Source organism: Homo sapiens, chromosome 16 (assembly GCF_000001405.40).
Source record: "Homo sapiens chromosome 16, GRCh38.p14 Primary Assembly".
Lineage (NCBI taxonomy): Eukaryota > Metazoa > Chordata > Mammalia > Primates > Hominidae > Homo > Homo sapiens.
Window position 1 is genome coordinate 47642132 of NC_000016.10, and position 18111 is coordinate 47660242.

Below are 18111 nucleotides of genomic sequence, written 5' to 3' on the forward strand. Positions count from 1 at the left end.
ATTTAGGTGTGAGAAGGTTTGTTTAAAAAAAACGTACTCATACCTAAATATTTTTGATATTCACTACTTTCCTTTTTTTCTCTTGCCTTACTGTTTGGTGTCTGAAGTAATTTCAACCTCTTTGGTTTGCTGGGTCTCAAAGCAATTATAAAGTAAAAGTAACATCTGTATTTATCATTGATGTAGTTCAATACCTATTTGGGATGGAATTAAAAGGTGACATTTGAGGCCTTTTGCACGCACTGCTCTGCAGATGGATCCATTATTGCCTATGCTTGTGAATGTTCTTGCTCGTTAGAGACACGACATTGTTGACTCCTACCCACTACTTATTTATACACTGCCATTTTTATTTAGTAATTGTTAAAAACAACATAAGAACAAACTGCTCAGTGTTTAGTAGAAGTCTTTGTAACAGTGTATCTCAAGTGGACATGATTAAGTTTATTAGGTTAAATATAAATGGTTGTAGTCAAAGTCTTGTTGCTATAACAGAAAAATGAAGGCTTAGAGAAGAGAGGTACATGTTACATGGGAAAATGCAGGACTCCAGTATCAGGCCTGGATCTTGACATTAGGCAACACAAACCAGAACCTGGGTGTCAGGTCACCAAGAGCACCAGCTCTTGGAGAGTCCTTATACCTTCTCCAATAAATTTAACCACCACTACCCTGCCAAGAGATAAAGCTGAAAATACAAGGATCCCTAGAGTAGGTAACAATTTAAACTCACGCCCAGATGTACATAATGGTACAAGGCAAGGAGCGGAGGCAACGTGGAGGGAGAGAGAAGGATGCCAAAATCTAAGGCTCTTATGCTGTGCTCTTAGTATTCAGCTGCAGGCTGTCGGCTGCTAATACACTTTTATGCTCTCCTGCTGAAAGCTCTAGAGAACGCCAACAAAGCTTATTCTTTGATAAACATACTCTTAAAACAAATTAACCCAAATCTGTTTTTTCTAGTCTAATTAATATTAGCAACTTATTTTAATAGTAGGTGAGTTTATATCCTACCAGACAACATGCAGTCAAGATTTAAAAGGCTAACATGGTGAGCAAATGACTTGAATGTGGTATTCATTCATTCAGCAACAAACACATGCTATATGCAGAGCACTGTGTAGGACACTCATATGAAATGACTTTGTCCCTGTTCTCAGTGACCTCTGGGTTTATTGGTTTGACAGGAAAAAAACAGTGAATTACAGTTCACTTTGATAACTGTTATAATAGATGTTCATACAAAGTGCTTGTGAATCAGAGGCAGTAGAAGGCATTCTGTTACAGAGCAAGTAAAGACTTACAACAGTTCCTGGCTTATTTTACATCTTGTTTTAAAAATGGTGTTAACAAATGACTTGCAATTTTGGTGTAGTGTGGCTGAAAAGACAGACTTGTGAGCAAGAGCCAACCTTCCTGTGCATGTGTTGAGATGGAAGATTGTTTTTTGGTTGTAGCTGTAGCCTCTGTGTTCCTAAGTAGCTGCTCTTTGGATATATACTAAGATATATTGCCTAGTATTCTGCTCCTTATAAGTCTGCCTTTTAAAAGTAAAGGTGTTCCCTCAAATCTTAGCTGATGCACATATTCTTATGCCAGCGGTTGCTCCCTTTCTTCTGAGAAGCCACTCCCTCCTTCAGCCCACTGAAGAGGATGTGAGGGCAGACAGCTGAGAGCAGGGCTTTTACACAGCATGTGGTTAATATTCATGATGTGATGACTGTAGTGTGATTTGCTTCATGGGGATCTGAATACAGAATTCTGCTCTATGTATTTCCGGGTAGTTTCTGCTCTATGTATTTCCGGGTAGTTTGGTCACTACTGTGTCTTTCGGTGCACTAAATGGTATGAATGTGTACAACATGGGGGCAGTGTTATATGCACCCTGGAATGTGGGGAGCACTAAATAAATTGTCACAGACCTGCCATACCATGGTTCAGAAAGTTGAGAATCCTTTTACTGTAATAAAGAGTAGTATTTAAAGGACGCCCACCTAGATCAACACATTTTACCATACATTTATTTCTGAAAATTTGAAACTATTAATATATGAGGGAAAGGGGGCTGCATCTAGTGTTATGTGCTATGGTTTCAGTGCAGCTATGCAAAATAATGCTTACAAAGCACTGTTTCTGGCCAGTTGACTTTGTCTAAAACCACTGCTATTCCAGAATCAATATTCACAGCATGTGTGGCTCAGGAGAACATTCAGTTGCTCCCTCATTCATCTATCAAGTATTTCCTGAGCACCAGCTACATACTAGGCACAGTGCCAACTTGGGCTGCTGTTCTACAGGAATGTACAATTCGAAAGGAGAAAGAGATACAAACCCAACTCTCACATAGATGTGTGCACTATGTCAGTGAACAGAGAGCTCTGGCAACACCACTAATTTTGTATACAATGAAGTTGTTATTTGAAATCGGTCCAAATCACAATCAGTAGATTGTGTAGAGATAGTTGGTTTGATTTTCCATTTAGGAAAATATAGGTTAGATGTATTTCTGTCATTAAATGTAAAAATAAATTGCAGACAGATCAAAAATTGAAAACTTTTAAAATTATTTAAATATAAAAGCACTAGAATAAAAAAATAAGAGAATATGTTTTAGCTGTTGGGAAGGGAAGTCCATTTTTAGAATGATACCAGTGCCAAAAAGCCATTGAGGAAATGATTGACAAATACTGTATAACTAAATATAGCAAACAGCCTGGCATATCAAAGGTGCTTGTGAAATTTTCTAGTAGAAAAATGTTTATATTGAAATACCACATGTTGAAATGAGATTCCACCTACTGTGCAGTCATTCTCACATTTCATAACAACACTGAAGAGGAGCAAACTGGGCAAAGTATTTGATTTAAGGGGCAATACTCTTAATATACCAAGATTTCTTGAAATAAAAAAGAATGCCAAATTCCCCATAGAAAAGGGAACAAATGAAAAAAGTTTGAGTTCATTGTAGATTCTGGATATTAACCCTTTGTCAGATGAGTAGGTTGCGAAAATTTTCTCCCATGTTGTAGGTTGCCTGTTCACTCTGATGGTAGTTTCTTTTGCTGTGCAGAAGCTCTTTAGTTTAATTAGATCCCATTTGTCAATTTTGGCTTTTGTTGCCATTGCTTTTGGTGTTTTGGACATGAAGTCCTTGCCCACGCCTATGTCCTGAATGGTAATGCCTAGGTTTTCTTCTAGGGTTTTTATGGTTTTAGGTCTAACGTTTAAATCTTTAATCCATCTTGAATTGATTTTTGTATAAGGTGTAAGGAAGGGATCCAGTTTCAGCTTTCTACATATGGCTAGCCAGTTTTCCCAGCACCATTTATTAAATAGGGAATCCTTTCCCCATTGCTTGTTTTTCTCAGGTTTGTCAAAGATCAGATAGTTGTAGATATGCGGCATTATTTCTGAGGGCTCTGTTCTGTTCCATTGATCTATATCTCTGTTTTGGTACCAGTACCGTGCTGTTTTGGTTACTGTAGCCTTGTAGTATAGTTTGAAGTCAGGTAGTGTGATGCCTCCAGCTTTGTTCTTTTGGCTTAGGATTGACTTGGCGATGCGGGCTCTTTCAAAAAGTGGGCGAAGGACATGAACAGACACTTCTCAAAAGAAGACATTTATGCAGCCAAAAAACACATGAAGAAATGCTCATCATCACTGGCCATCAGAGAAATGCAAATCAAAACCACTATGAGATATCATCTCACACCAGTTAGAATGGCAATCATTAAAAAGTCAGGAAACAACAGGTGCTGGAGAGGATGTGGAGAAATAGGAACACTTTTACACTGTTGGTGGGACTGTAAACTAGTTCAACCATTGTGGAAGTCAGTGTGGCGATTCCTCAGGGATCTAGAACTAGAAATACCATTTGACCCAGCCATCCCATTACTGGGTATATACCCAAAGGACTATAAATCATGCTGCTATAAAGACACATGCACACGTATGTTTATTGCGGCACTATTCACAATAGCAAAGACTTGGAACCAACCCAAATGTCCAACAATGATAGACTGGATTAAGAAAATGTGGCACATATACACCATGGAATACTATGCAGCCATAAAAAATGATGAGTTCATGTCCTTTGTAGGGACATGGATGAAATTGGAAACCATCATTCTCAGTAAACTATCGCAAGAACAGAAAACCAAACACCGCATATTCTCACTCATAGGTGGGAATTGAACAATGAGATCACATGGACACAGGAAGGGGAATATCACACTCTGGGGACTGTGGTGGGGTCGGGGGAGGGGGGAGGGATAGCATTGGGAGATATACCTAATGCTAGATGACACGTTAGTGGGTGCAGCGCACCAGCATGGCACATGTATACATATGTAACTAACCTGCACAATGTGCATATGTACCCTAAAACTTAGAGTATAATAAAAAAAAAAAAAACATTAAAAATAAAAAATAAAAAAATAATAAAAAAAAAAAAGGAAAAAGTTACAGAACATACAAAGAGTCATTAAATATATTAGAAAATGCTGAACCACAAAATATTTTAATGTAGTAGTTTAAAAATAAAATGAAATATTATTTTGACCCAAGAAGGTGGCAAGGCCTGTACACAGTTAATACCAATGTAAATTGGTACATTATTTCTAGAGGGTGACCAACCTCACATTACATTTCAAAGAGAATGTATTCTCTTTGATCCAGCAAGTCCAGGAAATTATCCTGCAGATATAATAACACACTGTCCAAAGATGTTTATTGAATTATTTTTAAAATAACAAAAAATTGGGAGCTATCTTTATCAGGAGATAGGAGTTTAAAAAGGTAAAGGGGCTTCTTGATTAGATTAAGTGCTCAGCTCTGACATTGATTAACTCCTAATTCATTCCAAGACTATCTGTTTTTAACCTTATAGACATTCTAGAAGTTTCTGCTCCACTGTGGCACCCTTCCCTATTTTGTAATACTTCTGCAGACTTTCCCCCTCAGTTTTTATTTATTTATTTATGTATTTATTTATTTATTTATTTATTTTTGAAATGTAGTTTCTCTCTTGTCGCCCAGACTGGAGTGCAATGGCACCATCGTGGTTCACTGCAACCTCTGCTTCCTGGGTTCAAGCAATTCTTCTGCCTCAGCCTCCCAAGTAGCTAGGATTACAGCCATGTGTCACCACGCCCGGCTAATTTTTGTATTATTAGTAGAGACCGGGTTTCACCATGTCGGCCAGGCTGGTCTTGAACTCCTGATCTCAGGTGATCCACCCACCTCAGCCTCCCAAAGTTTTGGGATTACAGGCGTGAGCCACTGCGCCCAGCTTTCCCCTTCAGTTTTAATATTTCTTCAATCATTTCAACATTGAAATGTACAGAAAATGCATAGACTCATTTTAACATCTTTTTTTTTTTTTTGAGACGGAGTCTCGCTCTGTTGCCCAGGCTGGAGTGCAGTGGCTCGATCATGGCTCACTGCAAGTTCTGCCTCCTGGGTTCATGCCATTTTCCTTTCTCAGCCTCCCTAGTAGCTGGGACTACAGGCACCCGCCACCACGCCTGGCTAATTTTTTGTATTTTTGGTAGAGACGGGGTTTCACCATGTTAGCCAGGGTGGTCTCGATCTCCTGACCTCGTGATCTGCCCGCCTCGGCTTCCCAAAGTGCTGGGATTACAGGCGTGAGCCACCATGCCCAGCCCATTTTAACATCTTGAAACTGGAATACCACAATATTAAGTTTAAAAAATGGGACACAGAATATATATGAACCCATTTATGTAAATATACACACATATTGACCTGTGTATAATATGAGTATATATTTATTGATGTACTTTTAAGAGTCTTTAACCCTATCTTGGTGCCCCTTAGGGATCATACAATGAACTATATATACCCCTTTCAGCGTATACCAGAGAAATAGTTGTTGCAAAAGGGATTGTGAAAATAAACAGGAACATTCACTTTGAGTACGTGGTTTGAATATTTCATAAAATGTATATAATCAGAAAAAATCAATGAAGCCATTTTCATTTTGGTGGGAAATACTTAAAGGTGGAAATTTAGTAGGAGATTATGGCCCTCGTTTTTAAAATGTTAAACAACTGGATTTTTTTAATGATACAGGAAGCATTAGCCTCTGTGTTCTTTTACGATCAGAGCCATGCAAGTTGTACATTTATAGCAGTATAGGAACAATATCAAATTTAAGAATGTTGCTAAGTAGATCTGCAGAAGTTTTGCTCTCAAATCTCTCAGTAATCCAAAATCTAAGTTGACATCTTTGGTTAGCTTGTCTTCCTACAAGTTTTTGGATTAGGGTTCCCTAGCTTCTTTCTCTCTGGAAAGATCAAAAATTAACAGGACAATACTCAGGGGTGAGAAAGTGACATGGATTCTTACCTGACTCTAATTTACAAACTTGTGTCTTACAGGCTTATTTGCAGCTGGGTATCAATGAAAAGTTAGGACTCTCTGGAAGGCCAGACAGGCCCATTGGCTGCCTCGGGACATCAAAGGTACTCATGAAATGTCCTCAAAAAGTAGTTTTTGGATTCTAATACCGCATACTGAAATGGTGCTTGACCTGCTATGCATCCTTTTTCATTTTCATTATGTACTCAGACTACTTATCTGAAGTATTATTTTCTGCTAGTAAACATTACTTATTTAGCATCATATCATGGAAGTCTTATAAATATGAAGGAGCACCTCACTGCTAAATATATTTTTTCTAAGCTTTGTAAAATATCTAATTATAACAATATTTACTCACAGACTTTTCCATCATATTAGAGGTAGACTGCTTTAAGTTTATTGGTATACTGATTCCATCAAGAAACTTAAAAATTTTTAAATATTATCTGGATGTCGCAAGCTATTAATTTATGTGCTTATTCAGAATTAGACATCAGTTTTTATTTTTATTGAGACTTACAGCACTGCACCTTTGCCTTTGGTATGTTCTTTAGTTATTTGTTTTAAAACTTTTTCCCTTACAGATTTATCGCATTCTAGGAAAGACTGTGGTTTGTTACCCGATTATTTTCGACCTAAGTGATTTCTACATGTCTCAGGATGTTTTCCTGCTGATAGATGACATAAAGGTAGCTTCGGAACACCTTTCTTAAAAATGGAATGAGTTTGTTTCCACTGATTTTATCATATGTTACTATATTGAGTACTCCCAGGTATCTGTGACACTGGGTTAACACAGTGTAAAGCATGACAGTAAAACCACCTGCATAGCTTTGGAGAGTGTAAATTACTTGCAGCATTGGCATAATAGATGACCTCGTCTTATATACAGTTGTATGACTGCCCCTTGTGCCTTTATACAAATGAAAAGATACAATTCAGAAAAACAGGGGGACCTATTTTGAAAAATATGTTCATATGACAGTTTATGTCTTTTTGAACAAAAGGTAAATTAGCAAAATAATTTTATTTATGAAAAATATCCAGTAAAACCTCAACTAACTCATAACTCCATGAGTTAAAATCTTCACTCCCTTTTCTACTGACAGAGCAGAGAAGGTTAGAATCATGATTTAGAGCATGAAATCTGGAGCCAGACTGCATTCGTTAAAATCTTGGCTCTGCCACTTGCCAGCTGTGTGTTCTTGGGCAAGTTACTTAACTCCTCTGTGCCTTGTTTTCCCATCTGTAAAACTGAATAATAATTAAGGGGTGTTCTGAAGATTAAAAGAATTAATATATGTAAAGTACTAAGAATAGTGCCTGGCATATGGTGAAGTATTATGTAAGTTTTTGATGTGATGATGATGATTTTATGTAAGTCTTTCAGATGACTGATTGATTGACAGATAGATAGATAGATAGATAATTTAATCAAATAAAGAGCTCCCTCTACATTGCTAATGGTCTGTATAAATTCAGTCCAGTCTCCTCCACCTGCTGTAAAATAAATCCCTAGTAATATGAAGTGAGTTAATCTTCTGGACGGCTGGCATGATTGTTCCCCCTGAGGCCATTCTTGAACTGTATTTTGTAGGCTTTTTTAAAAAAGGAGGCCAAGTGCATTGGCTCATACCTGTAATCCCAGCACTTTGGGAGGCTGAGGCAGGTGGATCACTTGAGCCCAGGAGTTCTAGACCAGTCTTGGCAGTCTCTAAATAAATAAACAAATAAATAGATTAACATTTAAAAAAAAGAGGGGGAAAACACATTAAAACAAATGTAGCGTGATTACTTTTAAGAATAAAGTTTGAAATCGTTGAACTCAAAGTGGTGTTCAGCATAACTTGCGTGTACCCAGAGAACCTGCTAGAGTACTTCTACCCCTAAGTAGTCTAAGTTATTCAGGGTTGGATTGTGAACTGTCTTGCTACATAAGAATTTTGTTGGCTCTTTGGCACTCATGGTTGAGCATCCTGTTCATCTTAGATACTGTGCCATTACATCCTACCTCATTCTGTTTGACAGAATGCGCTGCAGTTCATTAAACAATATTGGAAAATGCATGGACGTCCACTTTTCCTTGTTCTCATCCGGGAAGACAATATAAGGTAGGTTGATAAAAGAAGTAAGGTACGTGTGTCTCACTGACATGAACACAGTGAGCCCTTGGGAAGAAAGGCCTCCTTGGATGTTTTTGTATCCTTCTTAGTATGTGGTGGAATACTTTGTATATATAAGGGGCACTTAGTATTAGATTATTAATTTACCATTCTGTTGTTAATCTGTACATTTTGTTTATTTATATTTTTTAGAGGTAGCCGGTTCAACCCCATATTAGATATGCTGGCAGCCCTTAAAAAAGGAATAATTGGAGGAGTCAAAGTTCATGTGGATCGTCTACAGGTAGCCTTCTGATTTTCAGTATGCATCTATTTTCAGGACAGTTAATCTACAATACAGCTATGTTTCTTAATGTATGGTCTATTTAAGGTTTTTGACTTAAGGTTTTATTCTCCACCTATCTTCCTATTCCTATTGTCACTTTTCCAGTTTATCTGATCCCACCAAGTCAGATGCTTGAACACTTGCAGCAATTTCCTGTGCAGAATTTTAGACTTCAGTAGCTCATCTCTAAAAGCTAGGTCCATAGTGGTGTAGTGACCTGCTTTATAACCTTGGGCTTTTAGGGGCAAGTTGGCTGACTGTTGGTCCAGTACTCTTTTCTGTGCTCTATACTAACATCCAACCTGGGAATAAACCTTTTTCCATTCAGAACTTCACAGCATTATCTTCACAGCTCCTAAATTACAGAAACATTCTTTGGTTCACTGTTGGTCATAACAGCCTCTCTGTCCACAGTTCTCTCCTACTAAACACTCTTTGTGCTTCAGCCAATACAATAATTACTGTGTCTTGAATTTTGTGGGGTTCTGTCCCTCTGCTCACACCATTTTCTCTGCCTGGACTATCCTTCCTTCTTTCAAGGTCACTGGGCTTTGAGGTCTTACCAGACTTTAAGGGCAGCTCTACAAAATCATGCAGACCACAAATATACTTCTATTCTTCACCATGCTTTCGTGACCTTTAACTTAAACTACTAAGACTGCGGTCTATTATATAGGCTTATATACTTTATTTCTGTAAAATAATAATGATTATTCCATGGGGTCTTTCACATAGTAGGTGCTCAGTATTAAATAAGAAAGAGGAAAGTTTATAAAGAAAGACCTACGTAGTAGTATAAATGGCATGTTTATATACTCATTCCCTGGTGATTGTATTTTGCATACTTGATTTTTACCTAAGCATTTATCTTTTTTCCTTTATTTTCTGTTGCTTTGTCTTTTTGTAATGCCTCCTGGGGCAATTTCTTTGATTTTTATCTTGCAGTTCTTCTATTGAGTTTTGCATGTTGGCTATCATGTTTTAAATTTTCATTTTTCATAGTATTCTGTCCTATGGATGTTTCATGGCTGTCATATTTTATCTTTTCTGAGGATATCAACTAGAGGTTTTCTTTTTTTTCTTCAATTTTCCTTTCCTCTGTATTATCTCTTTCGGGGTTTTTTCCCTCAGTCTTTCATGTTGGAGGCATTTGTCAGATGTCCGGTATTCTTTAGCTATTTATTCATTTTTAAAAGTAAAGGAGTAAAAAGTTCATAGGAAGCTGTGTGCTTGGGTACAAAGATTCTTTTTTTCTTTTCTTACTATTTCAGCTTTTATTTTTGATTCAGGGGGATACATATACCTGGGTATATGCATGATGCTGAGATTTGGGGTGTGAGCGGTCCCATCATCTAGGTTCTAAGCACAGTTCCCAATAGTTTTTCAATCCTTGCCCTCCTTCCTGCTCTAGTGGTCTTTTTTTTTTTTTTTTTTAATACATACACAGTAATAGGATTGCTGGGTTGAATGGTAGTTCTGTTTTAAGTTCTCTGAGAAATCTCCAAACTGTTTTCCACAGTGGCTAAACTAATTGACATTCCCACCAAACAGTGTATAACATTCCCTTTTCTCTACAGCTTCACCAGCATCTATTGTTTTTTGACTTTTAATACTAGCCATTCTGACTGGTGTGGGATGGTATCTCGTTGTGGGTTGTTTTTTTTGTTGTTGTTGTTGTTTATTTCTTTTGTTTGTTTGAGAGACAGGGTCTCGCTCTGTCCTCCAGGCTGGAGTGCAGTAGAGTACACAGCTCACTGCTCCCTCGACCACCTAAGCTCAAGGGATCCTCCCACCTCAGCCTCCCAAGTAGCTGGGACTACAGGTACATGCCGCCATGCCCAACTAATTTTTTAGTTTTTTGTAGAGACAGCATCTTGCTATGTTGCCCAGGCTGGTCTCAAACTCCTGGGCTCAAGTGATCCTCCTGTCTCGGCCTCCCGAAGTGCTAGGATTACAGGCATAAGCCACTGCAACCAACCTCATTGTGGCTTTGATTCGCATTTCTTTGATGCTTAGTGATATTGAGCTTTTTTTTTTTTTTAATGTTTCTTCCTGTGTGTAGGAGAAAGATTCTTGATGAATTCACTTATAAGGTGATCTGATGGCAAAAGCTCCTTTTTGTTGTAGAAAGCCTCAGATGCCAATATTTGGAATTCTTTTCTCTAAGGCTTTTCAGTCTGCCCAGAAAGTACATCTCTAACCTCATGACCAAAGGACATAAACTTTGTTTCCATGTCCTGAAAGCAGGGTGGAGGAAGGGAACCAGGGATCCCACTGTGAAGTATGCAGTCTCCAGCCAAATCCACTGTTTAATCCTTGTATCTCCTGCTCTCCACTGTGCCTTATACTCTTGAGTGCAGTGTCTTTAACCAGAGAAAAAGCCTTTTGTCTCTCAAAAATCAGGGAGCTGGAAGCAGATAGTAACTCCCTAAGTGTTTAGGGAATGGAAAGGAACTTTTGGACCCAGTCTTCCTATGTGGAGCGTCTGTGAATCCCAGCAGTGTCTGGATCTTAGGGTCCTGAGGCTCTTTCCTGTTCTCTTTGTCCTAATGGATTTATACCTTAGTGGGTTTATACCTTAAACATTTTTTTCCACTATCATTTTTGGGATTTTAGGAAAAACAGGAGTTAAAGATATGTCTTGGTCATATTAACCAGAAATCTACTTTTGATTTTATGCTTAAGTGTCCCTCCCATTCCAGGATGTACCTAGGCATTTTTCTATTCCTTTTAAGAAATATGTGGGCCTATATGGAAAAAAAAGACCTAGATAATTTTGAAGAGAAATATAAGATTTGAATAAATAATGGGCTATACCATATTCTTGGATGAAAAGACTATTACAAAAATGTGAGTACCTCCTAAATTAGTCTACTAGTTTATTATAATCATGGTAATTTCAGTGGAGTAGAGCTTTTGGCAATTTCATATGGTTAAGGACAAAAATCAGAGTTCAGGGCCCACCAGGGAAGAGGGATTTCAATAAATACTTCAGACTTCCAGATGACCCTCTTGAAAAGCTATACCTTTGACTAAAAGGGAATCAGAAATAGTTCACTCCTCACAAAGAGTAGTAGATAACATTATCCAGAACCTCAAAGTATTTCTACAAATATGTGCAGTGTCTGTCTTTCATTCAAAATTATCAGGCATGCCACGAGTGATCAAACAACAGAGAGCCACCTACATTGGTTCAGATATTAGAGTTATCAGACATAGACGTCAGAATAACTACGATCAATATGCTTAACTGGCCATCAGAGAAATGCACATCAAAACCACAAAGAGATACCATCTCACACCAGTTAAAATGGCGATCATTAAAAAGTCAGGAAACAACAGGTGCTGGAGAGGATGTGGAGAAATAGGAACACTTTTACACTGTTGGTGGGACTGTAAACTAGTTCAACCATTGTGGATGTCGGTGTGGCGATTCCTCAAGGATCTAGAACTGGAAATACCATTTGACCCAGCCATCCCATTACTGGGTATATACCCAAAGGATTATAAATCATGCTACTATAAAGACACATGCACACATATGTTTATTGCGACACTATTCACAATAGCAAAGACTTGGAACCAACCCAAATGTCCAACAATGATAGACTGGATTAAGAAAATGTGGCACATATACACCATGGAATACTATGCAGCCATAAAAAAGGATGAGTTCATGTCCTTTGTAGGGACATGGATGAAGCTGGAAACCATCATTCTCAGCAAACTATCGCAAGGACGGAAAACCGAACACCACATGTTCTCACTCATAGGTGCGAATTGAACAATGAGAACACTTGGACACAGGATGGGGAACATCACACACCAGGGCCTGTTGTGTGGTGGGGGGAGGGGGGAGGGATAGCATTAGGAGATATACCTAATGCTAAATGACGAGTTAATGGGTGCAGCACACCAACATGGCACATGTATACATATGTAACAAACCTGCATGTTGTGCACATGTACCCCAAAAACTTAAAATATAATAAAAAAATAAATAAAGAAAAGAAAAAAATTAGATAACAAGTTGGAGAATTTTATTAGAAACTTTGATAGTACATTTAAAAAGAATCAAATAGAAATTCTAAATGAAAAATTCAGTCACCAAAATTGAGAAGTCAGTGAAACAATGTAGTACTTATTCACTATAATTGATGGCAGAGGATAGGTAAACTCAGAAAAACACCCCAGTATACACACAGGAACTTAAAATAATATGTAATCAAGGAAACAATAAATTAATGGTGGATGTATAGATTATTTAATATATACTTTGGGAAAAATTAAGGCAGTTAGAGTATCACCTCACATCGTACACCAAAATACATTTCAGGTGGATTAAATGACTTAATTTTAAAAGATGTTTATTTTAAGAAGAAATCAAAATACTTTCAAGCTTTTACTTTGGGCATATCATAAGCTATCAGTTTTAGCCTCTGATGTTGACAAATTCTTAGTTTTGTGATGACTTTGAGTTGAAAATAATTTTACTTTAAAGTTTAATATTCTGCCATGTTGTGGAGAGTTTTCATTTCATTTGAAGAGTCATAGACAAATTACAAAGACAGTGCAAAGTGTGGTGATTTTCTCTCAAGTCAAATTGAAGGTTTCTCCTTTTCTTTTTGTTTTATTTTAATGTCAAGCACAGCATAGAGTTTTAAAGTCAGAATGATATCCTTTTTAATCCTGTGTCATCTGAAATTGGGAAACTTTTTGCTTATATATCCTTATACACAAAGCTCAAGTTGGTCAAGACCTTAAGATATTTCATCTAATCTTCTCATTTTACAAACAGAACTAGAGCTCTTTGTAGGACAGTAACTGTCTGTAGTCCTAAGACTAGTTACTGCAGAAGGGAATAGAATTCATGGTTTCCCATTCCTAGTTCACTACTTTTTATACTCAAGCACCTGAACTTTCATCACTTTCTTTTCAGCAGCAGAGTTTAATGTCTACTTCACTACCTATCTCATTTTCCCATTTTTAGTTGTGTTTCAGAAATTATAGGAGAAAGAGGTCAGTAGTTTTGTCATGATTCAAAGAGTTTTACTTTTTTTTTTTTTTAATTGAGACTGAGTCTCACTCTGTTGCCCAGGCTGGAGTGCAGTGGCGCGATCTTGGCTCACTGCAACCTCCACCTCCCAGGTTCAAGCGATTCTCCTGCCTCAGCCTACCGAGGCAGCTGGGACTACAGGCATGTGCCACCATGCCAGGGTAATTTTTTGTATTTTTAGTAGAGATGGGGTTTCACCGTGTTAGCCAGCATGGTCTCGATCTCCTGACCTCATGATCCACCCGCCTCAGCCTCCGCAAGTGCGGGGATTACAGGCGTGAGCCACCGCGCCTGGCCAAGTTTTACATTTTTTAAAAAATGTAAATGGAAGTTCACCATTTGTGTTTTTACTTTTTCCTTCTTTTATTTAAATTAAAAATATTTATCAAAAGCAAAATGTAAGTACATAACTGTTCTAGACTTACAGTCATCAGTAACCCAAAATGTCAACAATATTTTTGAAGATCTTCTGAATTTAAATATGTACTTTGCCATCTCTAAAAATTGTGGTAAAACATGCATAACATAAAATTTGCCATGTTAATCATTTTTAAGTGTCCAGTTTAATGGTGTTAACTACATTCACTTTGTTGTGCAAACAATCTCTAGAACTGTTTTCATCTTGCAAAACTCAAACTCTATGCTCATAAACAACAGTTCCTCATTCCCCCCACACTCCAGCCTCCATTTTTTTTTTACTAATATAATAAATGAAAATGGCATCTATATGCTCCTCTTGGGTTTTATTTCAGATCCTTTCAAATTTCCTTATCCCCTGATCCACAGTTTCATTCATTACTAGGATCCCAGCCTTCTCTCCCAGCCCCATTACCCAGGACATCTCTCCTTGCAGTTCGTTGCTAGCCATGCTTTCCATGCCCCAAATATACTTGGTTTCCAAATCTCTAAATGTAATTGGAGATTTTTCCCCTCATGCTATGATGGTATTTTAGAGTTGCCTTTTTCTTTTTTTGTTTCTATGTCATACTTTAATTTTACAGCTTAGGTGACTGTTTCCTCTTTAGTGAAGCCTCGGGGACTGGAATTAATTTCTCCTTTCATTGTCCTTCTATGACATTTTGCTTGAATGTTTGCTATGGCTCTTCTTTCATTTTATGTTTAGCTAGTTTCTTCTGCCTGCCTCGCTCTGTGGTTTGTAATCTTTTTCAGCTCAAGGTTCACTCATCTCTGCATCCCCAGAGTACTCTCCTCACTACTGTTATCTGTGGGAAATATTTAAATATTGGCTCATTGATTCAACAAATATTTATTGTGCTCCGACTGTAGGCACTAGGGATGTAGTGTTGAATATGATACACAAGGTTTTTGACCATATGGGACTTAAATTCTAAAGGGAGAGCCCAACAGAAAACAAAGGTAGGTTGGGAGAGTGATGGGAAGGAATGCAATCTTAGGTAGGATGGTCTGTTGGAAAGGACCCGGTGGGATATAATTGAGTGTTTTAAATATTATATTGCGTTTGACACATACAGTATTATTTAATTACCATCAGAAATAGAATACTAATGCCTAGCAAATTTGTTGTTAAGTATGCTTTTTCCAATACTAATATAGGAGCTTCTACAACCAACTGAATTTTTTTTTTAATCAAAAGCCCTATAGATTATTAATGGAATTTAGCATTTGTCTATTAACTCAGAATAAACATTTATTTTATGGGCTGAATTAGAATATAAGGGTGAGTAGGCTAATAAAATGGAAATTATTAAATAGAATTTTTTTCTGTTTCAGCATTAGCTATCAGCTTTAAGAATTAAGTAATTCTTGACTCTCTCTTTCTCTCATACCCTGTGTTACAATTTATTATTAAATCCTATTGTCTCTATCCTCAGATTGTATCCAGAATCTAACCACTTCCCATCACCTTCAGTGCTATTATCATGGTCCAAGCTACCATTGTCCCTCACCTAGGTTTCCAGTCATCTCCTAAATTCCAACTAATAAAACAGTCTGTTCATGCTCTACCTGGTCATAAGCAGATTAGGTCATATATCATAAGCCTCCAATGACTTCCTCTCTCACACAAAGTGGAAACCAGAGTTCTTCAAATGGTCTATGTGCTCTCCATGATCTGGACCTGCATCTCTGATTTCATCTCCTACCAGCTGCCCCATCTACTCTGTTTCAACCACACTTTCCTCCTCGCTGCTCTCAAAGACACTAAGCATGCTCCTGCCTCAGGACCTTTGCACTTGCCACTCCCAGCCCTGTACACTCTTCCTTCAGATCCATATCATTGACTATAGTCCTTTCTTCAGTTTCTGATTGCATGTTACTTTATTAGAGAAATCCTTTCTGATCAGCTATATGAAATGGCTAACAACCCTCATCCTACTCCCCTGCCCTGGTACTCCCCATCCCCTACCTTTCTTATTTCTACTTTGCACTTATCACCATCTGACATAATAAATACATATATGTAGTATTAATATATATTATAATAATTATTGTATACACAGAGAGGGTCATATGTGTTTTAGTCAATGATGGACCACGTATACAATGGAGGTCTCATAAGATTTTAATACTGTATTTTTACTGTACCTTTTCTATCTTTAGATACACAAATATCATCGTATTACAGTTGCCTACAGTATTCAGTACATGTTTGTAGCCTAAGAGCAATAGGCTGTGCCATATAGCTTAGTGCTTAGTAGGCTATGCCACCTACGTTTGTGTAAGTACACTCTATGGGTGTTCACACAACAACGAGATTGCCTAATGATGCATTTCTCAGAATGTATCTTGGTCATTAAGCAATGCATGACAGTGTGTGTGTGTGTGTGTGTGTGTGTGTGTGTGTGTGTGTGTAGCTTTTTTATTGTCTATCCCCTACACATACCTATAAGAACAGTTTCAAGAAGGCAAGAATGTTATGTATTTTGTTCATGCTGTATCCTCAATACCTAACATAGTACCTAGTAGGCCTTCAATAAATATTTGTCTAACAAATCATTTAACTAAAGAGCAAGATGTATACATGCTAGCCTACATATTAGGAAATATCATTCAATGAACCTGCCTAGGCACAGACCCTGCTCTTAGGGAACTTACTGTTCAAGAGTGACCTGACTATAGCCAGGCTAGTAAAAATGTGTAGATCAACTGCATATTCGGCCTTTCTCACTCAAACTCAAGGAAGCTTTATTATGATTGCTATTAATACGTCCATCCTACCATCTGTAAATGGGCATTTGTTGATCTACTTTGTTTATGAGTTTCCGCTAGAGGAGAAGGCACTACTATTCTGGGTAGTTAGCCAACAAAAGCAACATTCCCTGTGTCCTGTTTCTTCACATTTGAGATGAACAGTGAGAAAATAGAGAAAATAATATATGTTATAAATATTTTATAAATATGTAATAAATATTGCCTTATTTTTAATTAATAATTTATGGCCTGCTTTTTATGAGTACATTTCTCAATTTTCTCTGACAATTCATCAGATAATTAGAAGTGACACATAATGCTAAAAACCATTGTAGGTTTATCATTCATTTATACTGTTCATACTGTTCACCATGAACCACTGACAAACACAAACAGTGTTTAAGGTCATTTAGTTTGTTCAACCTATAATCAGAAACTTATGGAAAATAAAATGGCCAAATATGGGTAGCCATATGCCAGAATGCAGAGAAGCATTAGCCTGGATAACCAATACCTTCATGTTCCTGAAAAAAATGGAGACTTGTCGGTATCCTATCATTGGATGGCCCAGAAATACATTACAGTAGCAGAATCCACAGTGCAATTTCACATCTTTTCCCAAAGCAATTTTAGTATTTTATGTTTTTCCTAATTTGGATATTTTATTTTATTTATTTATTTATTTATTTTTTGAGACGGAGTCTCACTCTATTGCCAGGCCAGAGTACAGTGGTGCAATCTTGGCTCACTGCAGCCTCCACCTTCTAGGTTCAAGTGATTCTTCTGCCTCAGCCTCCCGAGTAGCTGGGACTACAGGCACATGCCACCACGCCCAGCTAATTTTTGTATTTTTAGTAGAGATGGGGTTTCACCAGGACAGCCAAGATAGTCTTGATCTCTTGACCTCATGATCCACCCGCCTTGACACCCCAAAGTGCTGGGATTACGGGCATGAGCCACTGCACCCTGTCAGAAATGTTATTTTTTTTAACATTTTAATGGTTACTGAATTATTTTAATTCCAGATTAAAAGTAAATGCCTGCAATTCTAA

The 18111-nt window shown here is 37.5% G+C and overlaps 1 protein-coding gene across 3 annotated transcripts in view; it reads left to right on the forward strand.

The window, feature by feature from the left end:
- Positions 1 to 18111, forward strand: part of PHKB (phosphorylase kinase regulatory subunit beta) — a 240225-nt gene that overhangs the window by 180833 nt on the left and 41281 nt on the right. For all 3 annotated transcript variants that reach the window (NM_001363837.1, NM_001031835.3, NM_000293.3), the window contains 4 exons: positions 6402 to 6485; positions 6969 to 7073; positions 8413 to 8495; positions 8700 to 8790. In NM_001363837.1, coding sequence (NP_001350766.1) covers positions 6402 to 6485; positions 6969 to 7073; positions 8413 to 8495; positions 8700 to 8790 — 363 coding nt within the window. The remainder of the gene's footprint in view (positions 1 to 6401; positions 6486 to 6968; positions 7074 to 8412; positions 8496 to 8699; positions 8791 to 18111) is intronic.